The sequence below is a fragment of the Homo sapiens genome, chromosome 7, assembly GCF_000001405.40.
Source record: "Homo sapiens chromosome 7, GRCh38.p14 Primary Assembly".
Taxonomy (NCBI): Eukaryota; Metazoa; Chordata; class Mammalia; order Primates; family Hominidae; genus Homo; species Homo sapiens.
In genome coordinates this window covers 103,124,527-103,141,065 of record NC_000007.14, presented here as the reverse complement: position 1 = coordinate 103,141,065, position 16,539 = coordinate 103,124,527, and the positions used below count along the sequence as shown (strand labels likewise).

The window sequence follows — 16,539 nt, the reverse complement described above, 5'->3', positions numbered from 1 at the left end:
ATAGTAGAGTCACTTGGGTAAGAGAGGCAAGAATACTGAAATGCTTTAGGGGAAACTTATTTACTCGTGATTTATGTAGAGCTGGCCTTGCTTGCCTATTTTGCCAGCTCCCATTGTGGGAAATTTTTCCTTTGAGCAAAAGAATCTGTTTAACTGGAGCTTCAAGCTCTGGGAAAAGTGCTGAGTCTGCATGTGGCCACCATTAGTATCATGAGTTTTCAGCTTCTGCTCCTTGGGCCAGTGAAGGGAGATAAAGGGAAGTCAGGTAGATTATTATTTTCAGAATCAGGAGACTATCAATGAGTCTTCTGAGCTAATGAGAGCCTTCTGGTGACTCCAGGAGGGTTAGTGAGGCCACAAGGAACTATGAGGTCGGGTAGGAATCCTGTTTTGAATTAAGAGTTCTGCACTTTGGGAGGCCAAGGCGGGCAGATCACGAGGTCAGGAGATTGAGACCGTCCTGGCTAACATGGTGAAACCCCGTCTCTACTAAAAATACAAAAAAATTAGCCGGGCGTGGTGGCGGGCTCCTGTAGTCCCAGCCACTTGGGAGGCTGAGGCAGGAGAATGACGTGAACCCGGGAGGCGGAGCTTGCAGTGAGCCGAGATCACGCCACTGCACTCCAGCCTGGGCGACTGAGCAAGACTCTGTTTCAAAAAAAAAAAAAAAAAAAAAAAGAGTTCTGTGAATTCCAAGATCAGGCCTTCTCTTACTCAAATAGAACAAAAACACATTCCAGAGTTTATTCTGCTTCAGTTTATTCATACCATTTCCCTCAGCTTCCTTATCACATTAGTGTAGAAATGCAAAAATGGTATACATGTATATCCTACTATCTCATTAAAACTGTTACTGTTTATAGCATAATGAAACAGTGGCTTAGTTATTCAGTGCTTACTATGTACTGTGTGCCAGAGACTGGGCTAGGAATTATGAAACTGAGGTTTAGGATGATGAGGGGCAAAGTTGGGAAGCATTTATTTTAAGATGTTTTCAATTCTTTTGCCCCATCTTCTGGTAATGTGGTTTTTCCTGATAACCCATTCAAGCATATTTTAGTTATATTCATTTTTAATATGCTTTTATAATTTGCTACAAACTTTCTGCTATTCTTAAACAGAGGCTACTGAATTGAACTCAGGGATCTTAAAGTCCCTTAGAACCTCAAGATTCTATTAACCTTTTGGGGATATCTCTAGCCTCACTCTGACCCTGTTATTTACAGTGTACAGAAGACTCAGGAGATGGCTGAACAGGGTCTGATGTAGTCATGTCCTGGGCCTTGTTTCCCTGTAAAAGTCTCACTGTTCGTTTATTTTTTTGTCATTTTTCTCCCAGAGGATGGACCACGCATGACACTGCGGGCAGAATAACATGTCTGCCCCTTTGCCAAATTCATTTGTGAGTGAATCAGGGTTCAAGTAACCTCTCTAGTGACTTTGTTTCTTTCCATCACCCTCTCTGTTGCCATCAGCGCCCTTTAACTTGTTGGCTGAATTCAGAAAGTTCTGAGCTTTTCAGTGTCTCTGACCTGCTGGATCACAGGACTCTTGCTGTCACTGTGGACCGCTCAGCACTTAAGGAAAAGTATTCCTCACCATCTTGAGAATTTGGCCAGTATGTTTTGGAAATGCCTTATTCTAAAGTCTATACCATTTTCATTAATCAGAGCTGACACTTCTGTAAATGTGATACTGAGCCAAAATCTATATGGTTTCTTATGATTTTTTTCCCTAATGGATTTTGAATCCCTGGAGGTCAGGGGTTCATATTCTCCACAGCAACTGGAGAGCTAGGACTTAGATAAAGTAGACATTCTAACAATGTTTGTTAAATGCAACTTTTAAAATGCTTTAAGTAGAAGCCCTTACAGGTAATATCTGGAATCTTTTTAAGTTTGAAAATCTAATGGCTATTTGTATCAGATTTATATGTCCTGGCTCTTAATAACCTCCTAGCCTACCTGATAAACCTGTGAAATTGCACTTTCTTCCAGTAGATAACTATGCTGTTCTCAGGTGAAATACTTCGCTTATCCCTTGCCAGTCCAGCCTGGGGAAGGCAGCTGGACCTGAGCTGGGAATTTTATTTGAGGGAGTGGAAATAGGAGGGGTTGGCCAAGGCTGAGTTAGAGGGGACAGCTCTTTAGTGGCCTGAGCTGGCTCTTTGGTGCAGCCGAAGATTGTTAGAATTTTAGAGGTGGAGAGACTTTAGAGATACATCCCAGTCCTCTATTTTACAGATGAATGAAAGTGAGTCTCAATGATGTTAAGTGACTTTTTAAAGGCTACAGAAGGCTGGGTGTGGTGGCTCACGCCTGTAATCCCAGCACTTTGGGAGGCCGAGGCGGGTGGATCACCTGAGGTCGGGAGTTCAAGACCAGCCTGGCCAACATGATGAAACCCTGTCTCTACTAAAAATACAAAAAATTAGCTGGGTGTGGTGGTGCGTGCCTGCGATCCCAGCTACTCAGGAGGCTGAGGCAGGAGAATCGTTTGAACCTGGGAGGTGGAGGTTGCAGTGAGCTGAGATCGCACCACTGGACTCCAGCCTGGGCAACAAAAGCAAAACTCTGACTCAAAAAAAAAAAAGGGCTGTAGAATTCAGTAGAGTCAAAGTGGGAACTGGACTGAAGTCAGAAAGAATTGAAAAGTGTGCTTTTTTCCCTCTTTCTCTGTCCTGTCCAGGAGCTATGAAGACATGTTTCTCCTTTCCGTTTCTTTACAGGTTATGCATTAAATTGGAAGGTTTTCTTTTTGTATACGTAATTATGAGATGGAGATAGTAGAGAGAAAGTAGTCCCATTTTGGAAGCTTTTTTTTGGTTAAAATCTTGGCTCAGGAACAGTAAATGAACATTTAAGATCATCTACCTGCCTGGCCAACATGGTGAAACCCCATCTCTACTAAAAACACAAAAATTAACCAGGCTTGGTGGCGCATGCCTGTAATCCCAGCCACTCGGGAGGCTGAGGCACGAGAATCGGTTGAACCTGGGAGATGGAGGTTGCAGTGAGCCGAGATTGCACCATTGCACTCCAGCCTGGGTAACAGAACGCGACTCCGTCTCAAAAAAAAAAAGAAAAAAAGCAAAAAAGAAAGATCATCTGACATATTTAGGACGCATTTCAAGTTCCACAGGCATCAACTTACTGTTCCTCCTACCTTGTCCTCCCCCAACCTTTTTTTGGTTTTCCTTTCTTTTCTTCTTTCTTTCTTTTTCTTTTTCTTTTTTTTTTTTTTTTTTTTTGAGACAGCATCTTGCTCTGTCACCCAGGCTGGAGTGCAGTGGCTCAATTACAGTTCACTGCAGCCTTTACCTCCTGGGTTCAAGCAGTCCTCCCACCTCAGCCTCCTGAGTAGCTGGGACTACAGATGCGCACCACCACACCTGGCCTGACCTTTTCAATTAAATACTTATGTATATCATTTAGGTATAATTGATTATACCGGAAATGAACCTGCACTTTGTGCTTGCTATTATTTTTTAAGGTATTAAAGAGATGATAACTATGTTATTTCAATAAATATTTTATGCATGTTTTCCAAATTTACCGTAACATGATATTTTAATTTGATCACCCTAAGGATTCCAGTCGTAAAAGGTATTCATAAATAGGCTTTGTTCTTAAGCCAGCTGTTTCTCTTGTTTCATTCTTTTTGATTCTAATGAAAGCTTTGCTTTCTTACATATGGGGAAAACCTCTTATTATAGAGGAAGCTTCTAGAGTGTTTATGTATTTTGGTGACTTAAAGTCTGTTAATATACTGTATCCCAAAGATTCAAATTGCGTTTTGCATTCTTTCCTCTCAGAACTATTTATTTGGGGCCGGAAGCAGTGGCTCATGCCTGTGATCCCCAGCACTTTGGGAGGCCAATGCGGGCAGATCACGAGGTCAGGAGTTTGAGACCAGCCTGGCCAACATGGTGAAACCTGTCTCTACTAAAAATACAAAAATTAGTTGGGCATGGTGGCGGGCACCTGTAATCCCAGCTATTTGGGAGGCTGAGGCAGGAGAATCACTTGAATCTGGGAGGTGGAGGTTGCAGTGAGCCGAGATTGCACCACTGCACTCTAGCCTGGGCAATGAGAGCAAAACTCCATCTCAAAACAAACAAACAAACAAACAATTTATTTGGACTCTTAAATGCTTTTGGTTGGTTGGCATTTCTTTGTGAATTATTTGTCAAAATAATTTTTTGTCTATAATTGGATGAATGCTTTGCGACAAATTTGAAGTTTTAACAAAAGAAAATACATTTTTTTAAAAGGTAACAAAACTTACTTACTTTTATAGTCTTGTTACGTGAAATTAAGGAAAGAAAAATGAAAAAAATTCAGTAACTTAGGCTTTTAAAGCCATATGAAATTCTAGAATGTTTTATCTTTCACCTGAAAAACAACTCAGTTGGATCAAAAGGTCCTATTTATCATATATTCTTTACTCTTCAATTTGCATTTTTTTTTTTTTTTTTTGTGAGACAGAGTCTTGCTCTGTCGCCCAGGCTGGAGGGCAGTGGTACAATCTTGGCTCACTGCAACCTCTGCCTCCAGGTTCAAGTGATTCTCCTGCCTCAGCCTCCCAAGTAGCTGGGACTACAGGTTCGGGCTGCCATACACAGATAATTTCTTTTTGTATTTTTTTTTTTTTTTTAGTAGAGACAGGGTTTTGCCATGTTAGCCAGGCTGTTCTCGAACTCCTGAGCTCAGGCAGTCTGCCCACCTCGTCCTTCCAAAGTGCTAGGATTACAGGTGTGAGCCACTGCTCCCAGCCTCAACAATTTGCATTTTTTTTTTGAGGTGGGGTCTCACTCTGTCACCCAGGCTGGAGTGCGGTGGCATGATCTCAGCCCACTGCAACGTCCACCGCCTGGGTTTAAGTGATTCTCCTGCCTCAACCTCCCGAGTAGCTGGGATTACAGGCATGCACCACCACTCTTGGCTAAGTTTTTTGTTTTTTTTTTAATAGGGTTTTGCCATGTTGGCCAGGCTGGTCTCGAATTCCTGTCCTTGGCCTCCCAAAGTATTGGGATTACAGGCATGAGGCACCACAACTAGCCAGCAATTTCCATATGTATAGCACTTTAAACTACTAACTCATGGTCTCCTTAAATGACTAACAGACATTTAAAACAACGTTTAGGAGTTACAATCTTTATTGAACAGATGAATAAGCCCAAGTTTAGAGAGGCTGAGTTACTCCCTGCAAGCTAACATCTCTAGTTAATAGTAGAACTGGAGTCCAGTTTTTCTGACTCCTAACTAGTGTTCTTTCCACTCTAGTGAAGATAAATTGTTTGGTGATATATATATATATATAGATTTATATGTACATATATCTAAATGTATATTATGCGTGTATGTTCTATTTTTGATGCAATAATTATTATTAAATGTTGTCATACTCTCAGATCCTGTATATTAAGCTTCTGTTTGCTTTGTTTTCTTTTAGCTTCTTAGCAAAACTGGTTGTTTTGCTAAGTCAATAAAGTGTGGTAAGAATGAAGTTCAGTGATAACAGTGCAATACTTTTTTGGTTGATGAATGTTGTATACATACCTCCCACAGAACATTCTCCCTCTTATTATCCAGTGTACTTCCTGTGCTTGGATGTATCTGCCCTCCCACTGGTTCCCTAAATGCCTCTGGGAGTAATACCAGTATTGCCTGGAATCTTATTGAATGTGAAGGATGGGAACAGTTTAATTTTACCCCCACTGAAGCCCTTTGCAGACATTTCAGTGAATTGACGTAGTTTCATTAGCCATGTTATCTAGCATTGTATCAAAAGGGCCCTTTCTCTTCAATAAGGATAAGGAGAGCAAATACAGAATAGTAAGTTTAATGTTATTTAGTCAGAGATATCTGAAAATACACTTCTGAATACTTTCCAGATTTAACATCAGCATCTTTGTTGTTACGTAATGGACAAGAACTCAATTAGTATTTATTAAATGTCTACTCTGGGAATGATTTGCCGCTTCATAATTTATGAGTGTGTTGAAATCCCAAAGGTATGTTTTACTACTGTGATTTTTTTCTTTAGCTGTTTACATGATAAAGCAGTGCATTGAATTCTAGGCAGTTGGCAAATCTTAAATGTTGAAAAAAGAAAGCATGAAACATTTGCTTTTGAAATAGAGAATTCTTATTTTTTGAAAGCATTTTACCCATATGTGCAGTTATTGAGAGAAAATATTTGTACTTGGCTGACTTGTCTTCACCAAATGTCACAGCCCAGACCTCTCTTTGGTTGGAGACACAGGGATAAGTCCTTTTGCTCTTAAATAGGCAATTAATCTTCAAAAAATGTAGAGAATGTCCTTGATAATTACTAGATGGACTTTATGTTGTCCTTTTTGTAATACATTGTTCTTTAAAAAAGAACATTTGTTTTATTTTTTATTTTTATTTATTTATTTATTTTGAGATGGAGTCTCACTCTGTCGCTCAGGCTGGAATCTCGGCTCACTGCAACCTCTGCCTCCAGGGTTCAAGTGATTTTCCTGCCTTAGCCTCCTGAGTAGCTGGGACTACAGGCATACACCACCATGCCTAGCTAATTTTTGTATTTTTAGTAGAGATGGGGTTTCACCATGTTGGCCAGGCTGGTCTCGAACTCCCGACCTGAGGTGATCCACCTGCCTCGGCCTGCCAAAGTGCTGGGATTACAGGCATGAGCCACTGTGCCTGGCTAGAACATTTGTATTTTATATTTAAAATACAATTGTCACAGGGGTTTGTTACCTTTAAATTTTCTTCTGGATTCTAGTTTTCTAGAACAAATTTAGCATTTGGTATGTTTATAACTAACTGTTGTTCACAGAGGGAAAGAGGATGAGCAATTAATTATGCTTCTGATTATATTTAATTATCAAGAGCAATGTTTTCACTCCTGTCCCAACGTATTTATTTTCCAACACAAAATGCTATATTTCATCCATTTTGAGATAGACATTTTATTCACATTTTAACACCACTGATATCACTATATGTCATGTATAACGTGTGACCTAACTATAATTGATAACATTTTTACTTCCTTAGTGGCACATGACACATCAGGGTGCCTTACAATTCATGGTATTTTTATTTATTTATTACTTATTTGTTTAGATTGCTCTTTCAGAATTCATGGATCTTAAATTGAATCAAAATCAGTACAATGGAAAGATCTTTATCAAGTTTTAAAGCACTTTTTGAAACACAGGTTGTTTACAGTTTTTGTGTATTCATGTACACATCTACTTTCAGTTGGTGTTGGCCTGAAATCAAGGGTGGATTATTTTCATTTACATTGTTAATTTTGGAAACAGTTACATAACAAGAAATAGTTTGAAATTTGCCACATTTAATTACAGAAACTCTAGCTAGATATGTTAAGGGGTTTGTCAAGCTTGAAGAGCTCAAAGCTAGTTAACACAGGACCATACAGACAACCCACTCTTCCTCATTCCTACTTTTTCTGTCATTTTATCTGTGGTCTTCTGAGTGCCCAGAAGACACTGGGCATGAGGAGCGTTCTTGTGTGACCCACTCTCGGGCTGAGGCTCCTTTGTCACTGGAGCACCTGTTGGCAGAGCGTGTCATTTTGCACATTCAGCAAATGGGCTCCCAGTATTTTTCCTCCAGAAAAACCAGTCCAGAGTTTCAAGGCTCAGGTTTTACGTGCTTCTGCTCCTTCTTGCCCTTTCAACAGTGCATCGTGTGAAATGGTGTTTCATAGTTTGATCATTTTGTGTTGCTTTAACATCTGTCATGGATGGCAGTCCATAATCCTGTGACTATACATTTCCCCATACCCCAAGGATATGACAACGTGGCAGTTGGTCGCCCTGAAGTGGGTACATGATACATCTGAGGAAATAGTTTCAGGCCGTGTTTATGGAGCAGAGGAGAGTGTGGAGAGTGTGGGTAAGGTTAGAAACACAGACCCTGTGAACCATCATGCTGACCTTTGCCCTCAAAAAACCCTTTGGAGGTTTTTTCGTTTTGTTTGTATCAGATTTTTTTGTTTTTTGTTTTTTAAAGAGCATTTCTGAAAACTGGACTTTGTGTGTGTTAGGGGAGGGGGTTTGTTAGGAGAGGATGGCTATTTGGTAATGAGACCTGTTTCCACAGATTGATTGGGGTGAAAGACTGAGTGGATGGGAGGTGAGGAAATGGAGATTGTGTGAATAGACAACTTTGAAAAAGCTTATTATTTAGAGAGAAGAAAGATCACTGCACCAATTTTTTCTTTTCTCTTCTTTTTGTTTCTTTTCTTTCTTTCTTTCTTTGAGACGGAGTCTCGCTCTGTCGCCCAGGCTGGAGTGCAGTGGCATGATAACAGCTCACTGCAGCCTCAACTTCCTGGGCTCAAGGGATCCTCCCAGTAGCTGGGACTACAGGCCTGCAACACCACAGTGGGCTAATTTATTTATTTTTATTTTTATTTTTTATTTTATTTATTTATTTATTTTTACCCCTAAAGCAGCCTGAATCCATTTCCTTTGGGTGTCAATGAGGACTTTCTCTTGGGTTCTTGCTTTCCCATGACCTCAAACCCTTCTCAAACTCACTGGGTCACAATCCACCTTGATTAGTGGTGCTGCCATTTCTGACTCTTCCCACTCTCCTCCTGACCAACCAGCCCTACAAAGTCCAAAATTTGTGACTATCCAAATACTCTCAAGTCTTACTGATTCATCTTCTTTGTTGTCTCTTGGATTTATTCTGCTTTTTCTCTTCTCATTGCACTGCCTCCTCATCTTTTGACTGGGTTGCTATTCACTATTAAAAAGTGGGGATTATAATACCTACCTTGAGGGTTTGCTAGGAGCATGAGTTTAAATGAAATAGGTGAAATATGTGGCATGGTGGTTCAGTGTTATTGGGTGTTCTAGGCTTCTTCTGTTTTCATTCAATCCATCTCCCAAGCTCCAGTTTTTAGCCACTTCCTTTCTTTTTAATCCTGCTATCAGAGTTGTCTTCCCTAAGTACATCATTTTCTTTTTAGACGGAGTCTCCGCAACCTCCGCCTCCTGGGTTCAAGCAATTCTCCTGCCTCAGGCTCCCAAGTTGCTGTGACTGCAGGCACGCGCCACCACGCCCGACTAATTTTTGAATTTTTAGTAGAGACGAGCCTTCACTGTGTTGGCCAGGCTAGTCTCGAACTCCTGACCTCGTGATCCACTCGCCTCGGCCTCCCAAATGGCTGTGATTACATGCATGAGCCACTGTGTCCAGCCCTTAAGTACACAGCCTTTTAAGTGTGTTCAGTGTTTCCCCATTGCTTGCAGTGTAGCCTAACCTCCTTAGAGGGAGTCCAGGCTCACAATCTAGTCCCATCTTTACTGTCCAGTCTTTTAACCCTCTATAGTCTCGACTTTCACAAACCTTCCTTGCTTTTTTTTTTTTTCCCCTTGAGACAGAGTCTCACTGTCACCCAGGCTGGAGTGCAACAGCGCGATCTCGGCTCACTGCAACCTCTGCCTCTAGGGTCCAAGTGATTCTCCTGCCTCAGCCTCCTGAGTAGCTGGGATTGCAGGCACAGGTCCACCACGCCCGGCTACTTTTTGTATTTTTAGTAGAGACAGGGTTTCACCATCTTGGCCAGGCCAATCTTGAACTCCTTGTCTCAGGTGAGTCATCTGCCTTGGCCTCCTGAAGTGCTGGAATTATAGGCGTTGAGCCACTGCGCCTGGCCCTTCCTTGCTTTTTATGTCCTAGCTACATTAGACCACTAGATGTTGTTCAAAACCCTATTTTGATGTTGTCTTTGTGGTCTTTGAATCAAAGTGTCCTTTTTTCCTTTCTCCCTTATCCCTTCATTGTTTAAAACAATGAGCCAAACATTTATTAATGTATTTGGTAGAATTATGATATATATGTGTATATATATACATACATATGTATATGTATATGACAAATACAGATATCTCATAAGCTGTTTTATCATGACAAGGAGTAGCATGAGGTCACTTCTGCCATCTGTTGGACATATTGTCTTTTTGAGAAGTAACTTAAACTCTCTAAACTTGTACATTTTCATCTGTTAAACGAAGTGAGGTTCAGATGGATGGTCATTGTTTCTGCTCTTTGTAAAGTCCTTGGCCTGAACTTAATTATAACCCAGAAAAAGTGATTCTATGAGAGCTTACTCTCCGAGACCACTTTAAGTTCTAGAATAACTTAAAGAATTTAGCTATAATCCTAGCACTTTGTGAGTCCGAGGAGGCAAGCAGATTGCTTGAGCCCAGGAGTTCCAGGTCAGCCTGGGTAACACGGTGAAACCCCATCTCTACTAAAAAATAAAAAAACTAGCCAGGCATGGTGGCACACACCTGTGGTCCCAGCTACTTGGGAGGCTGAGGTGGGAGAATACCCTGAGCCCCGGGAGGTTGAGGCTGCAATGAGCCGTGATTGAGCCACTGTATTCCAGCCTGGGTGACAGAGTGAGACCCTGTCTCAAAAATAAAAAAAAATAAACAATTTAGATGTATGGCCAGTTAACAAGATTAGGGAAAAGAAGAATGAGCATTTGTGAGTGCCAAGTACATTATGTACCTGTGCCATTTGATCCTTTGAGAGAAACCTCCACAGGTAGGTAGATAGTTTACCAGGAGAAAATGGAGGATGAGAAAGGGTAGGCTATTTGCCCAAAGTATAAATCTTGTTAGACTCTCTCTTAACTCTTGAGCTCTCCCACATACAGCGATGGCTGAGCAACAGCGTGTGCTTTAGCTTTAGTCAGCTGGGGTTTCTTTTCTTCACAGTGATTCTTCTCTAGATTACAGACTGCTTACTCTAGACAGTTTGGAAAAAAAGTTTTGGTTCTGTGTACGTATTCATCCTAGGGTTTGTGTTTTTCCCTTTCTTTCTGGGGCAGTATTTCTATTTAAACACCATTGTAGCCATAAAAATAATATTTGGCTTTCTGTTACTGTGCTCATTTCCTTATTTCCACTTATAAAATGTGCTGTGTGTGTGCACTGTATTTAAACTAATGAAACAGAAAGCAAATGTTTAACAGAATAAGAAAGAAATGAAATTCATGGCAGATACGTTACTTATCACTTTTGTGTATCTGGAGTCCTATATAGGTCAAAATCAGGGATTTTAATGCCTTGAGTTAAGCAGTAGCAGTAGTAGCAGGAATAACAAGGTCAGCAGCAACAGCTGACATTGATTGAGCTGTGATGTTGGGTTTATGTGTGTGTTACTATGTTTCCAAGTGCCTTACTTGTATTACAGGTCTTCTTAATAAACCTAGGAGGGAAGTAACGTTCTCTCCATTTTATAGGTGAGGAAATCAGGGTACAGAGAGGGTGGGAAACTGGCTCAAGGTCGTATAGCTAGGATACATACTCACTGACTTGGCAGTTCTCATATATTTAAATGTATTTTATTGATCAGTTAAATACATTATTGAAATGTCTCTCAGTTAATGTGTTATCTCCTTTCCAGGGATTTGGACTGGCTGTTCTTTCTGGGGGCATTGGTTACAGAATATCTTCAGTGTAAATATGACTAAGCCTAGTGGTGTATATATTCGACTTGCTTGAATTACTAAATTCCCTCAAGGAACTGAAGCAGTCCTTACTATGCATTGTTAACAATAATGTTTTCTAAATACATGTATGAAAATACTATAGATTTATGAAGGTGCCTTAATTTATTCCACAGAATGTCATTGAAATGGAAAATTTAATATGCTTACATGCTGGCTGGGGAAATATGTTGTTTTGGATTACAGGAGATAAAGGATTTTTTAAGGGCTTGGCAGTTATGTTAATAGGTAAAGCAAACATCCTTCTTTCTTTCATGTTTGTTTTGTTTGTTTGTTTGTTTGTGCAATGGCGTGATCTCAGCTCACCACAACCTCCACCTCCAGGGTTCAAGCGATTCTCCTGCCTCAGCCTCCTGAGTAGCTGGCATTACAGGCATGTGCCACCATGCCTGGCTAATTTTGTATTTTTAGCAGAGATGGGCTTTCTCCATGTTGGTCAGGCTGGTCTCGAACTCCCGACCTGAGGTGATCTGTCTGCCTCGGCCTTCCAAAGTGCTGGGATTATAGGTGTGAGCCACTGCGCCTGGCACATCTTTCTTATTTAGCAAGAAGTAATACTGTATTCTAAAATTGTGCCTTGCAGGAAGAAAGTTTCAGCTAATACAGACATAATATTTTTATAAGTTTAGAGAAATTTTTATTGGCTAACAAATAGTACCTTGTGTTATGTTTGAATGCCTTTATGTTCAACTCAGTATTTTTCCCCCTTGTTTTTTTTAGTTCTTCACCAAAGGACATGGATGAAAATGAAAGCAACCAGTCTCTGATGACAAGCAGCCAATATCCTAAAGAAGCAGTAAGAAAACGTCAAAATTCAGCACGGAATTCCGGAGCAAGTGATTCTTCTAGGTTTTCTAGGAAAAGCTTCAAACTGGATTATAGACTAGAAGAAGATGTAACTAAATCCAAGAAAGGAAAAGATGGGAGATTTGTGAATCCGTGGCCAACATGGAAAAACCCCTCTATTCCAAATGTTCTCAGATGGCTGATAATGGAGAAAGATCACAGCAGTGTTCCAAGTTCTAAAGAGGTAGCGCTTGGCTTTTTTGAGTGCTTTATATTTGCTCTTCATATATGACACTCTAGTTATTTGAGCCCTTGTATATCATAAGGCATAGAATTAGGTCTGAGGAGATAAAGTGGATAGGTGTAACCTAGGCCCTAAAGTTCATCGTTCAGTAGCAGAGTACATATAGGAATAACCAACCCTGATCTGGTGGCAACTAGAGGTAGGAACAGAGTGCTTTAGAGGTACAGGAAAGAACGTGATGCTGACAGGAAGAGCTGGAGATGGCTTCACAGAGGAGGTGAATATTTCAGCTGGGCCTAGTCAACTAAAAAGTATTTTGACAGTGATTTTCCAGGTAGATGATGGCATGAACAAGGTCATGAAGGTGAGACAGTGTATTACCTGCTCTGGAAGGTAGTAGCCTGGTACGTGTGTAGAATATGGATCATGAGGGTGAAGGCATGGCCTGGAGTGCTTGGCTTTTAACCCTTGGATAAGGCTACCAAAGCTGTGAAAGGGAGCTTCAGATGACCTTTCCAGACCTTGAAAAGTTGACTTTAGGTTCCTAGCCTTTAAATGTACTAGTTTTACTTAAGATGATTCTACTTGGCCTTCTTCTATTCTGTTAGAATAGACAGATCACAGTTTTGGGTTAAGTTGATTTCATGGTTTACATTGAGTATATCAATATTTTTCATTGGTGAATGAAGTAAGTACTATGACTGTGTCTCCTTTCCTTATATACCTCTCCCTCTGCTGTGTTAACAACATCTCTTTCATCTGCTTGACTTTCTGTGTATTTATGACAATTATTTCCCTGCCTCCTATGGCCTCTCAATGCCATTTTCCTGAGGGAAAGACTCTCAGGTGGTCGTTCAGCAGTGGGCTGTAGTCTGAGCTGATGCCTTCCCAGGGTCTCTGCCGACTTACATTCTAGGGCACCCTTCACCAGCCTCCTGGGCTCCCTTGTGTCTTCTATGGTCACCCTTGTTTTCTGCATCCCACTTGTTCCTCTTTCTGTGTCATTTTCTCATTTTGGTGGAGCATATTTTCAGTGAACTTCCTGAGAAAGGGTACATGGAAAGTAAGTTTTTTGAATTCTTGCTTGTCTGAAATGTCTTTATTCTCATTCATAATTGATAATTTGGGTATAGAATTTTTGTTTAGAAACAGTTTTCTCTCAGAATTTGAGAGTATTGCCTCCATAACTTTATTTCTAGTGTGGCTGTGGGGAAGTTCAGTGCCGTCCTTACTCTTGATCCTTTGAACAGGCCCTTTGTTTTCTCTCTAGAGACTTTGAGAATCCTCTCTTTGGCACCAGTGTTCTGAAAATTGCCACGATGTGTAGTTCTTTATTTATTCATTGTGCTCTGTGTGTGGTGGGCCCTTTCAGTCTGAAAATCCATTTCCTTCAGTTCTAGGAAATTTCATCTGTATCTTTGAAAATGTCCTTCCCTATATGTTTTTATTCTAAAATGACTATTAGTTATAGTAGTTCTATTTTGGACCTCCTGGATCAATTCTCTGTAATTTAAGAAAATTTCTTCTATGTTTTATCTTTTTAAAAATATTACATGGCTAGGTGCAGTAGCTCATGCCTATAATACCCACACTTTGGGAGGCTGAGGCAGGTGGATTGCTTGAGCTGAGGAGTTCGAGACCAGCCGGGGCAACATAGCAAAATGCCATCTCTACCAAAAAAAAAAAAAAAAAAAAAAAAATACAAAAAATTAGCCAGGTGCAATAGAGTGTGCCTATAATCCCAGCTACTTGGGAGGCTGAGGCAGGAGAATCACCTGAGCCTGGGAGGCAAAGGTTGCAGTGAGCCAAGATCGTGCCACTACACTCCAGCCTGGGTGACAGAGCAAGACCCTGTCTCAAAAAACAAAACAAAACAAAAAAAATTGCATTCTGAGGAGGTGGCCCCTGGGAGGAATGATGCTAGGTGCAGATGCAGTGTGGCTTTTGATGGTGCCTTATGAACAGTTGTGTCCCAAAGGAGGTATGAGGATAACTGCTGAGGTCCTAAAGAGCAAGCCTAACTTTAGCCATTGGCACATAGGCATTAAACAGAAGCCTGGAAGTTGAAATGATAGAATCTTACTTGTCTAGACTAGCTTTATGGTTTTATTACTGGTAACGTTTTTATCTGTTGATTGAGTGCAGATTTTTGGAGACCTTTTAAAGGTATAGAGAATCGGCTTGACAACAGTGCACATGGAGCAAGTTTTAAAGAAGCAAAGAACTCAAAATTCATGCTTGGAGAAGTGCAGGCAGACCTGATTTCCTAAAGAGGTCTAGGGTTTTTAATGACCACAGATAGCAAGCAAGCATGCAAACCTTGATAGGGTCTCACTCTGTCACCCAAGCTGGAGTGTAGTAGCCCTTTGAGGCTCACTACAGCCTCAAACTCCCGGGCTCTAGTGACCCTCAGCCTCCCAGTGGTTTTTGTACACAGCCTGATGGAGTTTCATGGCAGAGAAGATTAATTAAACAATGTCTTTCAATTTTAATAAATTTCAGCAATTTGAAAAAAATTTGCATTCTGAAAAATTTCCTCAAGAATTTGTTTCATTTTTATTTATTATTATTATTATTATTATTATTATTATTTTTGAGACAGAGTCTCACTCTTTTTGCCCAGGCTGGAGTGCACTGGCGCCATCTTGGCTCACTGCAACCTCTGCCTCCCGGGTTCAAGTGATTCTTCTGCCTCAGCCTTGTGAGTAGCTGGGACCATGGGCGCCTGCCACCACGCCTGGCTAATTTTTTTTGTATTTTTAGTAGAGATGGGGTTTCACCATGTTTGGCCAGGCTGGTCTTGAACTGCTGACCTCAGGTGATCCACCCGCCCCGGCTTCCCAAAGTGCTGGGATTACAGGCATGAGCCACTGTGCCTGGCCCTATTTGTTTCATTTTTAAACCTTGTGTCTCGTAGAGTCGTAGGGATGACTGAAAATGTCACCATATACAATTTTTTTATAAAACTAGAAAATATGAATACTCTGATTGCAACCATTCATAAAATAGAACTACAAGTACAGATCATAATGTTAACAGTGGTTATAATATCTGCATGTTGATATAATGATGGCAACTATTTATATTTTTCTGCATTTTCCACATATTAAGAGCATTTTCTCTTATAATCAAGGAGTTTAAAAATACTAAGCCATTTTGATAGATCTTATACTCTTAATACACATGGCAAAAATATCAAACATTGGCATCAATAATTAATTGAATTGGAGTTATTTTGGTAACACATGTATCTTTATTCAGTGTTCACATATAACAAATGTGAAAAAGAAAAATGTTATTTTTTAATTTAAAAAATCTGAGTTGCAGATTACAGTATAGGTAGTAAAGTTTTCTAAGATGGTGAAAATGTACCTTCAGTTGGAAGAAAAGTATTACTGTGTCTTCTTTAAAAGTGATATTTTAAAAACATGGTTTAAATGGATTTGAGTCACATCTTTCTTTTTTGTCTCATTAATACACACAAACACATACTCTTAAAATTGTAAGTATGTTAAGAAGATATGAGTTTCATTGTTTAATTTTAATGTAAGTTAATATTTATGCCATCGAAGGAGCATGGCTTAGTGAAAGAGAGGTCTTTTGAGTTAGGAAGACCTAGATTTCACTCCTGATTGGGTACTTACCTCTTGCATGACTTTGGCAAATTTCTTAGTGACCCCAGTCTGCCTTGGTCTGGTCATCTGTAAAATGGCAGTAATATTTGCTTCACAAATTTAGATGACACAGTATACCTAAAGCACCTTGCAAAGAGTAGCTATTGAATGAACGTTAGGATTTTTCCCTTTTCCCGAGAAAAGTAAAACATTAACTAGCGTACTGGTTAATTATGAGTCTTGGGATTTTCCATTTTGCAGCTTTCAAAAAGGAAGACCAGCCAAGAAAGTCTTGATCTAGCCATGAAAATGCCACGTGAGTGATTAGTTTCCTCAAGTAAA

General features: G+C 40.2%; 1 protein-coding gene across 37 annotated transcripts in view; it reads left to right on the top strand.

Annotated features, from left to right (window-relative positions):
* NAPEPLD (N-acyl phosphatidylethanolamine phospholipase D) overlaps positions 1-16,539 on the top strand; it is a 50,226-nt gene that overhangs the window by 8,936 nt on the left and 24,751 nt on the right. For 32 of the 37 annotated variants that reach the window (NR_169881.1, NR_169882.1, NR_169880.1 and 29 more), the window contains one exon: positions 12,274-12,583. Coding sequence is in view for 21 of the 37 variants with exons in the window: in NM_001386176.1 (NP_001373105.1) it covers positions 12,290-12,583 (294 nt within the window). In the remaining 16 variants the exon portion in view is untranslated. Of the gene's footprint in view, positions 1-9,415; positions 9,626-11,669; positions 11,782-12,273; positions 12,584-16,458; positions 16,514-16,539 lie in introns of those variants that run through there. The other 5 variants (NR_170077.1, NR_169879.1, XM_047420046.1 and 2 more) reach the window with 3 other exon arrangements.